Source organism: Homo sapiens, chromosome X (assembly GCF_000001405.40).
Source record: "Homo sapiens chromosome X, GRCh38.p14 Primary Assembly".
NCBI classification, from domain to species: domain Eukaryota; kingdom Metazoa; phylum Chordata; class Mammalia; order Primates; family Hominidae; genus Homo; species Homo sapiens.
This window is the reverse complement of record NC_000023.11, coordinates 22,203,794-22,216,959: the sequence shown is the minus strand read 5'-3', so window position 1 is coordinate 22,216,959 and position 13,166 is coordinate 22,203,794. Positions and strand designations below refer to the sequence as shown.

General features: G+C 37.9%; 1 protein-coding gene and 1 long non-coding RNA gene across 7 annotated transcripts in view; one reads left to right on the top strand and one right to left on the bottom strand.

Annotated features, from left to right (window-relative positions):
- The window catches only part of PHEX (phosphate regulating endopeptidase X-linked), a 218,986-nt gene that overhangs the window by 34,351 nt on the left and 171,469 nt on the right, over positions 1-13,166 (bottom strand). For all 6 annotated transcript variants that reach the window (NM_000444.6, NM_001282754.2, XM_024452390.2 and 3 more), the window contains one exon: positions 4,002-4,056. In NM_000444.6, the coding sequence (NP_000435.3) occupies positions 4,002-4,056 (55 nt within the window). The remainder of the gene's footprint in view (positions 1-4,001; positions 4,057-13,166) is intronic.
- The window catches only part of PTCHD1-AS (PTCHD1 and PHEX antisense RNA), a 1,100,142-nt gene that overhangs the window by 1,076,187 nt on the left and 10,789 nt on the right, over positions 1-13,166 (top strand). The window lies entirely within an intron of this gene.

The following is a 13,166-nucleotide window of genomic DNA, read 5'->3' as shown; positions in this document are numbered from 1 at the left end:
TTACTTAATCACAATCCTTTGGACAAGAGACAAAGAAAAAGTAATTTTATATGACTAAGCCTGACAATAATAATATTTCATAATATTAGATTCATGTCCTCTATTTTATCAATGAAGAGTATTTAAATTAGCATGTCATTGGCCAGGCGTGGTGGCTCACGCCTGTAATCCCAGCACTTTGGGAGGCCGAGGCGGGTGGATTACCTGGGGTCGGGAGTTCGAGACCAGCCTGACCAACATGGAGAAACCCCATGTCTATTAAAAAATACAAAATTAGCCAGGCATGGTGGCGCATGCCTGTAATCCCAGCTACTTGGGAGACTGAGGGAGGAAAATCACTTGAACCCGGGAGGCGGAGGTTGCAGTGAGCTGAGATCATGCCTTTGCACTCCAGCCTGGGCAACAAGAGCAAAACTCTGTCTCATAAATAAATAAATAAATAAATAAATAAATAAATAAATAAATAAGCATAAAAAAATAAACTCGCCCTTTTAAAATGCAACCTTGACTGGCTGGCCAGAAACTGGAAGATTTCTTGCACTGAAGATCTAGTCTTCCAAAAATAAAATGGAGAAGACACCACTTTTACTACCTACTCAGTTTCTCTTTTGTTCTAATTACTCAGTGGGTTTAACATATGCACCGGATTTGCTGTCAACAACAAAACAACTATACTGCTGTCTAGCTTAATCATGATCTCACACTGTTATCAAGTAAGGGCTGTCCTATGCCTGAATCATAAATTCATAAAAATTTCTGAGTTGGAAATGGCTTAGAGGTCATCTACTCCAACTTCCTACTAGAGGAATGGGCCCCCTCTAGAAAAACCCATTCAAATGGTTATAATACCCTGCTTGGGTATTTCCAATGACCAAGAGCTCATCCCCTTCTAAGGTAACCCATTTCCTCTTTGGGCGGGTCTAAACGTAATAGCTCTCCATAATGCTGATCTGAAATGTCTTTTCTATGGCTCCCATCTATTGGTCTAGTGTAGCCTCTAACTGAACACTTGCTGAATCTCCTGAATATAATAAGTCGTTCTACCACCTTAACTTTCCTTCAAAAATATGCAGACAGTTATGAGGTTCCACTTCAAGTGTTATTAAGTTCTTTCAACTCTTATTCTTCAGTCATGAATTCTAGATCAGCATTTCCCAAAACACCGGGGAGTTTGGGAACCTCTGCATTTCGAAGGATGGTTACCAGAGCCTGGGAAGGGTGGTGGGGGGCTGGGGTCAGAAGTGGGGATGGTTAATGGGTACAAAAAAGGTAGTTGTGTTAAACACATCTAAATAGGTTTCTTTCTTGGAGAGCTTCTAGGAAATTTTTATGGTGATAATTATTATGATTCCCCAAAACTGAAGGGAGGGGAGGATGTCTTACCTCTATTACTATTTCATGGAACACACACTTTGGGAAACGTTGTCTTCAACCATTTACAGTCCTGATTCTCTCTTCTGGAAACAATTCAGCTTGTTCATGCCCCATAATTAGACTCAACACTCAGGTGAGGACTAAGCTGACCACTGTGAGCAGAAAGGATACCCACTCCCTTGATTCTGGAGGCTATCCATTTATTAATACAGACTAGATGAACATATGGGAAGCCATCTCACTGGACCATGACTCCCATGTCTTTAGCATCTTCATATTCCCAATGCTGAGTACCCAAATGATATGTAGTAGCTATTCATTAAGTGGATGAGGACAAACAAGTCTTTAGGAAAAAAAAACTCTCTTTCACACTCAAGTATTAACTATGACCTAGCCTAAGGTACAAACAAATAGACACTAACATGCTCACAGACCCAATAAACAAATTACTTCATCAATAACTTCAGAAATCCAACCAGACTATTTCCTAGTCTCCAGCTATATAACCACAATAATAGAAGCTCAGTTAAATTGTTAACAGTAAGCAGAATCAAAGAATTATAGGACTTTTTTAGTTTGAAGGGAGCTTAAAGAATATTTATCCTAAACCTTTAATTTTTTAGATATATATATATTTCTAAACTTAAAAGCAGGGCAAATTGAGTCCAAACATCTGAACACCAAAGAAAACTATGGAGCTGAGGCCTGGGATATTATTAATGGATTTGGTTAAATAAGAACCTGCAATTTTTATTTACTCTAACGATGGTGCTTCCCTGTAGTAAGCTTTATCGATGGCTGCCCACGTCCTCGTAGCCCTCACTATTTTTGAGCACACCAATCTGACAGCCTTCAAATGTCAGCACCTGAAACTAGTTGCCTGAAGACTTTCTCCAGCCACTAGAGCCCTCTTGGCCTAGGATGGGCACTGCCAGGTACCCCTGGTAGGAGCCCTCAATCAATGATGGAAGGTGAGTTGGAGGACAGATAAATACCCCAGCTCCCATGTCCCTGAGATGGGATCACTCTGAAGCATGTTTTACAGTTCCCCAGCAAGACTGAGCTCCAGTTGCCCATGGTGATAACTGGCTTTGTAACACACATGTGGTAGGTGGAATAATGGCCTACAAAAGATGTCCATATTGCTAATCTTTGGAACCTGTGAATATGTTATGTTACACAGTAAAGGGGCTGCAGACGGAATTAAGGTTGCTAATCAGTTGAACTTAAAACAGGAAGATTATCCTGAATTATCTGAATGGTACCAGTGTAATCACAAGGGTCCTTATAAGTAGAAGGGAGAGACAGAAGATGAGAGTCAGAAGGAGATGTGACTATGGAACTTTAAAGATGGAGGAAGAGGTCATAAGCCAAGGAATGTGGGCCCCCTCTAGAAACTAGAAAAGGCAAGAAAACAGATTCATCTCTAGAGCTTCCAGAAAGGAAAGTAGCCCTGCTGACAACTTGATTTTAGCCCAGTGAGAACCAGTTTGGACTTCTGACCTACAGAACTATAAGCTTATAAGTTTATGTCATTTTAAGCCACTAAGTTTGTAGTAATTCATTTTGGCAGCCATAAAAGACTCACAGGACATAATTCATTTGGCTTATTTCCCTCACTGTCTCAATTCTCCACTCCCCTACTGGTGTTTCCTTGTACCACCTCCCGAAAGAACTAATTGCACTTGAATACTTACCACAAGGTCTGCTACCGGGAAAGCCCAAAGGCCAAATGAAAACATTGCCAACATATTTCTCTTATTGATATATTTATGGGAATCTGTATCTTTTAAACCTACATATTTTTAAATTGTCATATATCCAAACCAAAACACAAGAGACTCAATGTATAGAATCAAGACTAAAATTTTCCAAGCATTAAAACACAAAAGTAAAAAGTATATAATAGAAATGGTGATATTATTGACATCAAATATTATCAGAATCTCTACTATGTATGGAAATTCTGAATTACATGAGTCTACAATCTGTTGGTATTAAAATGACCTTTAAACTGGTATCCCTAAGTCCATACACTACCAATTTTGACTTATTCTGTAGCTACACAGGTTATATTTCTAAAGATAAATTCGATTATCTTACTAACTTGCTCAAAAAGTTCAATATTTTCTATTGCCTATTAGTATCCAAGCTCCTTATTTGCCATGCAGAGCCCTCCAATATCAAACCTCAATCTTCTTTTCCACTACTTCCTTTCATATACCATTTGGGCTAGCCAAACTACACTCTGCCATTATAGAAGCACTTTTCCCTCCTTATCTCACACTGTTTCTTCTACCTGGAATGGTTTTAGACTCATCCCATCAATTCAAATCCCAACAATCCTTCAATGTCCAAATACTGGTAGTATGAGTTAATGGGTAAGAGAATAAATGCATAAAAATGAAAGCCACCTATGTGTAAGATGGCTTTCCTGTCCAGCCATACACCCTGGTAACAAGGATCAGAAAACAAATACCTAAAATGATAAGAGTACAGGCGACCCACGCCAGATTCCATGGCTTCTTTCTGCTGAATAACCTTTGACTTTGTTTCTTCTGTCCTCTACCAAAGCAACATGTTCTTCCTAATTGGTCAGTAACTGGTTTCTGTACTCATTTACTCACCGAGGATATTCTGTTCCCCAAAAGAAAGGCTTCTGGAGCTCTCCTGCTGGAAATCCTATGAGAAGGAAAAAATGTTAAGAGATATAGAGAGATTGATTCAATGATGAGTACCTGGTTCTAGCTATAACACTGAGGTTTCAAAGACCCATCTGAAAGGCACTCCTCCTGGCACTGGGAGCCCTCTAAGAGATCTAGCTGTCTCAATGATATCAATTCAACTGAGTTTGAAATAAGTAAGTGTATTAAAGGTTTCAGGGAAACCATTTTGCACTGGTACACTATTGGCAATATCCAGCCTGCTGTAAGCTGGGCTCCTTCATACATGGCATGCTCATGAGGCTTCAGGCTGTCCAGCAGCTTTGCCTGATATAGAAAGGGCCGGCTTCGTGGGTGTGCAACCTGTGTAGTCACACAGGCCCCACAGAGAGAAGGGTCCTGCACTTAGTTTAATCTTCTCCTGCCACTATCTTGAAATTCTTAATGATTTTTATCTTTGAACTTGTATTTTTTGAGTGGAGCATGAGGGGACAATGGAACATGTGTGTGTGAGCAGAGAAAATGTGCACAATATGTGTCTGTTGTTCCTAGGAGCCCCATTTACACACAGCATTCACAATGCCCCAGGAGCACAGGACTCCATCAGGCCCATAGTGCATGGGAGTTCAGCGAGATGCCAAACAAATACAAGGTAAATACGATACATCTAGAACTGAGTAAGCTCTGATAGCCCTAAGAGGCCATACTTTCCATTCAAACCAGAATTTGCTTCAACCACCAAAAGAAGGTAGTGGCATTCTAAGAAACATGAATGACCAAGGAATCCTGTCATAACCTTTCTTATACCTGTTACTTCCCTGTATTGGCCAAACACCTACACTGAAAACGATGACAGAAAAGGACAGAGAAAGGGTGAATTATATGGTTTGGCTGTGTCCCCACTCAAATCTCACCTTGAATTGTAATAGTCCCCATGTGTCAAGGGTGGGGCCAGGTGGAGATAATTGAATCATGGGCGCGGTTTCCCCCATACTGTTCTCATGGTAGTGAATAAGTCTCATGAGATCCAATGGTTTTATAAAGGGGAGTTCCCCTGTACAAGCTCTCTTGCCTGCCGCCATGTAAAACATGACTTTGCTCCTCTTTTATCTTCCACGATAATTGTGAGGCCTCCTCAGCCATGTGGAACTGTAAGTCCATTAAACCTCTTACCTTTATAAATTACCCAGTCTCAGGTATGTCTTTATTAGCAGTGTGAGAACAGACTTATACAATAACCTATAGATTCTTTTCCTTTTAGTCCTTCTTTATTCATCAGTAAACCAAAGGTAGAGAGTATTGGTAGAATGTACATGTATTAAGAAGTAAAATAAAAACAGTTGAGTTTTGTTCAGCATTTCCTCCATGCTGGTAAGAACAAAATACATACGCACATACAAGCTACAAAATACAAACTATGTAATTTTGGTGATTCCACATCCAAGTTAAATGCTCTTATGTTTGCATTTAAAACTGACATTGCACAATATTGAGATGAAAAGTAACACTCAGGCTAATGACTTACGTCTTTAATTTTTCTTATAGTAGCACTGAATAGCAAATAAAACAATACCATGACAAGTTGAAAGAGAAAGCCCATGAAAGATAGGGCAAGGCTTTATATTTTAGCCCCCTCAATGGCATTTTTTCCTGCTTTTGGAACAAGAGACCCCACATTTTTATTTTGCACTGGGCTTCCCAAATTATGTACCTGACATTGAGTGCAGATGAGTGGGAGACATGCTTTGCTTTGCCCTTGCAACTCACCACTAAATTTTGCACCCTGGGTTGATCCTAGGAACTGTACTTACAAGTCATCACAGCTGATAGAGCAAAGAATCATAACCAAAAAGAGAGAGAGAAGCCTTCTGTAGTGTCCTTCACTGCTCCAGAGCAACTGTTCCAGGCCCCATGAGACTGAAAGCTCTTTCATAAGTCAAAATGTTCTTCCTCCCTCTTCTTAACTTTTTTTTTTCTCTCTCTCCTCCATGTCAGAACACATGAGGAGAAATGAGGACAGGAAAGCAAGTCCTTAATTTAGAAGGGAAATGGTGGTTCTATATAACCCTTATATATATTCTTTATATTTTATTAATAATATCGTAGTTTGTGATTAGGTGCAAAAGCCTAATTGCAAAACAGAGATGGATCCAGCTACTAGTTCTCTGTCAGTTTCACATAAAGGAAAATGCATCTAATATTATTTTGAAGTGGCAACATCATAATAATCTTCATAATTTCTACATTTCCTTAAATATTTGTGGCATATTTACATCAATATTCCATCCTCTTTTTTTGGTGATTACTTTTAGTAAGTCATTCTCACTCAGATATATATACATATGCAAATATATATTACAAATAAATGCAAATCACAGTGTTTATATGAAAACTCAGTTTCACATAATAAATCATCAAAAAGCAATGATATTTCCTAATAAGAACAATGATCATAAACCAATGTGATTTCATTATTAAATCATTATGGCTTATCCTGCCTGGTAATGTGCCCAGCTGGAAGCATTTACGTCCATTGCCAACCTCTTTACAGGAAAACATCTGACACCTGCATGAGCCTCTATGTCTGTCACTTTTGCCGTTAGAAGCCCCAGACTCAAGAGTTGAAGCCACCACACATCACTCTGTTCAGCTGTATCTGCTGAGCTTGTTGGGGCCAAGGAACCCAATACTGATAAACAGAAGAATCTGATGCCCTTAGGCATGTTTTGCTGAAGTGAATGGATTAATAGTGTAAGCTGCATTTTTGGAGATGTCAACCAGCTAGAGTGATAGATGGAATCCTACAGGGTCAACTCAATATCTTATCTCATAAAGTGGATAAGTTGTATTTAGCAAAGGTAGAAGTGAAAAATAAGCAGAAAGGGAATTCCTTTTTTCTGCCTTTTTAATAGGTTTTTATGTATTCTTTCATATCCATTTTATTTCCTTTTTATTTTTATTTATTTATTTTTTTTTTTTTTTACCATTTCAACACCACCTCGCCACCTGTTTCACACTTTTAAAGTTCCTTTTTCTATCAGTGTACTTACGGGAGGCATTCCTCACAGTGTAAATGTCTCTGTGGAGGTGGGGGAGGAGACAGAGGGAGGAGAGGGAGAGGGAGAGGGAGAGAGAGAGGGAGGAGAGGGAGGAGAGGGAGGAGAGGGAGGAGAGGGAGCAGAGGGAGCAGAGGGAGCAGAGGGAGCAGAGGGAAGAGAGGGAGAGGGAGGAGAGGGAGGAGAGGGAGGGAGAGGAAGGAGAGAGACGTTTAACTAGTGGTTGGCAAAAGTTAATAAATGTGATAATAGGTAATATTGGCCAAGGTGTAGGAAGCATGTTGATGGGAGTGTAGGTTGTTGCAAGCATTTTGGAGATCAATTTAGTCATCTCTTAATGCTTTAAATGCCATTAAAAAAAAAAACGAGTAACTATGTGGCGATATGGAAAAAGCTCTAAGAAATATTAAGTGAAAAACAGCATTCAGTACAGTGTATGGAGTTATTTTGTGTAATGTACGCAAAAGAATAAGCATCCATACATACAGCTGTGACACCTGTATCGAAAAGGCAAATTTATTCCAAGGAAATTGATACACTGGGGGAAAATTTGGACATAACTCCAATTTCGCATTTGCTTATCCACAAGAAATGCTAGGGAAAAGCAGAAAAATGCACCCAAATGGACTGAGCCATATAGGAATACCCAAAATGCACACACACACACACCTCAACATGACCAACTGCCTCAGTTCACCACGTGCGGCAGGAGCCACACTCACCACATCTGCTGTTAAAACTTACCTTCCAATTTCATGTAACCCTCCTTCCGCCACTACCCAAAAACTCACAAGGGTCAACCCCTCCAATACCAACTTACACAAGCAAACTTCTGGTCTTTTCAAGGGAAGGTGCCATATTTACTGTAGCGTTTGTGTATTTACCCATTTAACATGTATAAAACCGCACTATCATTTTTATTGGTCTCCCAGCTTTTGTTTTTAACGTGTCACTGATGAAGTTTTTAACTGTTGTGCCCCAACCTCATTTTTCTCAAAAGCCCCGAGGCCTTTTATTACATACTTTTGCATAGCACAGTGGTGTTTAAGAACACATATGTTACATTATAGAACTGACTGTATCCGTACATGTGTGTCTGTAGAAACAGACATACCTGCCAGTGGTTTTCAAATTGTATAATGCATCAGATTCACCAGAGGGCTTGTTAAACTACAGATTGCTGGGCCCCATCCTCAGTTTATGAGTCAATAAGTCTAGGGTAGGGCTAAGAATTTGCATCTAGCAAGTTCTCAGGCGATGCAGATGCGGCTGGTCTGGGTGCCACCGTGAGAACCACTGCCTGATCACTTGCACAAGTGCACTACAGAATTCATTGCTGCATGGCTTGTAGTTGAGAAGTGTGCAACAAGCTAAATGTCCAAATAAGAGGCCAATTAATTATGGTATAACCATATTGTGGACTGCTATGCAGTAAGTGAAAAGAAAGAGGTAGGTCTTAAAATTCCAGCATGGGAAATAATCCCCAAGACATGTTGTTGGCATAAAGCAAGGTACAGATATAGACATATAAATACCATTTATCTTCTTACATAACTATCCTACCAGTGTGAGCATATACATGTATTGTGTGTATATGTGTATACATATGTAAATTCCTTAAAAGTCTGTAAAATACCTATCAAAGTGATCACAGTGGTTACCTTTTGAAGAAAATCAGGATTTGGGGTGGTGGCTCGTAAAAAGGGCTCTACACATAAACGTAATGTTTTACCTTTTGATTATCCAAAGATAATAAACTTGTGTAATTAAAATTAATTCTTTTAGAAATAAGTGTGTGTGTACACAGGGGCCTGTCGGGGGGTGGGGGGCTAGGGGAGGGATAGCATTAGGAGAAATACCAAATGTAAATGACGAGTTGATGGGTGCAGCAAACCAACACGGCACATGTATACCTATGTAACAAACCTGCACATTGTGCACATGTACCCTAGAACTTAAAGTACACTAAATAAAAATAAATAAAATACCCCCTGGATTTTCAAGCCTTAGTATGAAAAAAGAACATAAAACATCTCTTTAATAATTTTTGTATATTGATTACATATTAGAATGAAAATATTTTGGGTATATAGGGTTAAATAAAATATATTACTAAAATTAAATAAATTTGAGAATTAGTTTTGTCTTGATTTTGCTTTTAACGGTGACAATGTCAGGTAAATTTAGTTAATAGAGTAATTTTGTATGATGACAACAGTATGTATAAAAAACCTCCTATTTCTTATTTTAGTTATTTATTTGTTTTCTTATTTTTTTCATGGAAATTGTACCCAAAAAACTAATATATTCTTATCATACATTTCAAGACTTACTTTAATAATTATTACACAGAGGTAGATTTCATCAAATAGCTACACAGTATGTTATGTAACAATTATTAAAATTTCTTTTAGCATCTCAAAAAAAAAGAAGTGTGTGTGTATTACAGAAAATTCTTCTAAAGGCTATTGAAAAACAGTTAACTAAGCTTATATAGTATTATTTTGTTCTTGCATTTGTTAACACCAGCAAATTCCACTCCTATTTCAGGCAAAAATACAAATTGTGGTTATACCACTTCAATGATTAAAATTCTGACAAAAGAAAATATTGGTCTTTGTAATAACCTAATTATTTATCAGTAATACTGTCTTTTTCAAATCTGCACCTGGGAAAGCCACAAGAACCTGCTTTTGGTTTTCTACTGGGGTCAACCTCTCCTTTTTACTGGTGTTTCTCATTACAATTCTCCTATCAGTAAATATGGAGTAACCTAGTTGGAGCTTAGCAAAATGCTGACCATAAAAGACAGAGTGCTTTTGTTTAGGACACAATTGCCAAAGAACCAATCACATTCAGTGGGTGATTACCCCAGGCTCAACTATTTGACTTTTATAGTCATAAATCATACCCTGACGGTAGCTACAGCTTTCCCAGAAAAGTTAAATGCCTCAATGTGTCTGGGTTTCAGTACACATTATTGTAAGCTGCATTAATTAGAGTTTTTTTTAGTACAAACAAGTATAGAGAAGAAAACAAATTTAGCACATTATTCCACAGCTCAGACCTCAAGAAAACAAATAAATAAATATATTCAGGCCTAGCAAATTCACACTGTATAGAAGGACATGCAAAAAGGGAATAATTTTCCTTTTGCCCTACGCCTCTCTTCTCCTAACCTAGAACCTACTTTCCGCCACTATCTGTATGGCTCGCTTCAGGTATGTAGGCTAAGATCATCTTTTCATTAACCCCTTCCCTAGTGCTTTTTTAAGGGGCAGGATGTTATTCTACCCACTTTCTTGCTTTGTAACTCATCGTAACACTTACCACCATCTAAGACAGTTTACATTTGACTTATTTTGTATGCGTTTTCTGTCTTTCCCCAACTAGAATGCAAGTTCCATGACAAAAGGGATTTTTATTTTTTACTATTCTTTAATGGTGATGTCTTCAGAGCTAGAACAATACCTGGTTCATGGTAAGCACTCAATAAATACTTGTTGAATTAACTGATTCTGTATCTTGTGAAACTCAGAGGGATGACTGGGGTTGAAGCATTACCTATCATTATGAGTACATCTTGTTAGACAAAGTTTAAAACCTTACATGATACTATTAGTAGTACCAATGTATTACTTCTTGAATTTTCCACATTCAGTACCAGATCTAAGATACATCCCATTATTCAAGTTCTGGTTTTCATTTTCCTTCTAGATGAAAGAATTTGTTGGTTCCATTCTCTTGCTATCATTGCCGAACTAGTGTAGTTTTGAGATCAGCACATTTTTCCAATAAACTTTCAATCACAATACAGATATTAACAAGCTAAATAGTCCAGCCAGTTTTATGCAAATACCATCACTCCTGTATCCTCTTAGCCCTCCCTGCTGACCCCCAATAAAAGTGGAATATTCTTCCTTTTTATGTTTGTGATATATGCTGGAAAGAGAAAATTAGACAAAATATTGATCAAAGGCCTTCGGCCTGCAGAATATTGAACTAATTTAATCCATTTTCCCTACATTCATTGTTGCGTTCACTTTACTGCAGCATTAATTTTAAGTTCCATATTCATAAGTGTATGGTTCAGAAAAGTTATCATACAGAAAATATTTTTAAAACATTACCTTCCAAAATTGTATGTTATTTGGAAGTTTTTTAAATATTAATAATAATAATTTAATATTAATAAAGTATTAATAAATTAATAATTTAATATTAATTTTTAATATTGATGTGTTAATAACTTATAAATGCTGATGATTTTAGACAACTATGAACCAGACTCAGACATCTTTTCCTGTTATTTCCATGTTTGGTCAGATTTTACAAAATAGGAAGCCTCCAACTTTCACTGCCAGTCTTCAGAAACCCAGACCATGTGCTTTTCTCCTTTCTCTATAGCAAACTTTTGTAAGTGTAGTAACACAATGCAAGACAACTTGAACTCATCTACCTTCAGGAGCATTTCATTCTTAAATTCAACATCTCTTTTGACTCCTCTGAAGGAATAAGCATCATTGAATTTGTTCATTTAGGATCCCTGCAGCAGCCTCTGGACAGAAGTGACAGAGCCAGGGGCAAATGACAAAGTAAATTCAATCCAAAAAAAGGTGACCAAGGGAAAATTCCAAAGGAAAATTCAATGGGCTTGAGGATGTGTGGACCAGCATACACATTCAGCTGTTTATTGAACTAAATCTGTTTCCATATTTGCTGTAGCTGCTTTCTCCAGAAATATACTTGGGTTTTTTCATTAAGTGTGTACCTGTGTCTGTTTTCTTTCAGTGTGGATGTTTGTGATAGTTTTGTTAAGGGGTGGACTATGTCAATACATTCTGTTGCATTATTAGTTTTGTCAAACAATGGGATATTTGGTCATTTGCATGGATTTTTTGATGTATTAATGTGGCTCCAGTACAAGTTGTGACAGTTATTTTTTTTTCAAAAGCCTTAAGTGTGTGCTTATATTACTAAACTACTCTATGTATCAGTCCACATTTCAGGGCTATTGCTGATATATCATCTTATCTACATTATTGTCCTTCTTGGTGAAATTCCCTTGTAGTTACCTTCTGCTAACTTCTTTGATTATTTTACTTGTCCTGTGCAATAGCTTCGACTTCTCTAAGTGAATACGTTTTATGATCCTAATTTTGGAGTGTCAGTCTATTTAGATCCCATTATAAAAACTACTGGGAATAGGTGGGTTTGGTTATGATGATGCAATTTCTATGCATAACCACTGACTACTAACATTTACTGAGCACCTATGATGTCCTAAGCCACATGGGCAACCTTCGAACAAACAAATGTCCTCAGAGAACCTACAATCTAGTGAGGGAGAAAGGATACCACTCGACAAATAATCCTATTTTGCAAGACCTAAAGAGGAAGGTAAACCTATACCAAGCTTTCTAAAGTATGCTTTTTAATTGAAATATGTTTTAAACTCAGTAGAGAAAAGAAATACTGGATACGTGGGAGTAGATGTGCAGAAGTGTTTTGAGAGGGAGTTATTTATTCACATGTCTAGCTAATGGGTGACAGATGTGGTTTGTACGATTATCTGGGGTTTGGAGTAGGAATGGTTTAGGAAACTGGTGATCAAATCTTGGTCTGCAAACCAGCAGCATCAGCATCACCAGGGCACTCCTTAGAGGTGCAAATGTTTGCACCCCCACCTCCCTAGACCTACTGAATAGCACTTCAGGCTATTCTGGTACATGCTAAAGTTGGGACCCATTGGTTTATATCAGGGTAAGTACAGTATTCTCAACCCCAAATGCACATCACCTGGGGAATTTTGCTTGTTTAATATCTATGTCCAAGCCCCTGCCTCAAACCTATTAAGTCACCATCTCTGGGATGGAACCCTGAACATAAGCATTTTTTAAAAGCTCCCCAGGTGATTCGACTATGAAAACAGGTTCAGAATTGTTGGTTTAGGAAAAATAAGGAATTTCTTATGTTTAACTGATCTATAAATCAGCCCTCCTGTCTTTCTGTCATCAACACCATGCATGTAACAATGTAACGTATGATTACTTTTATTAAAATTTTGCACACT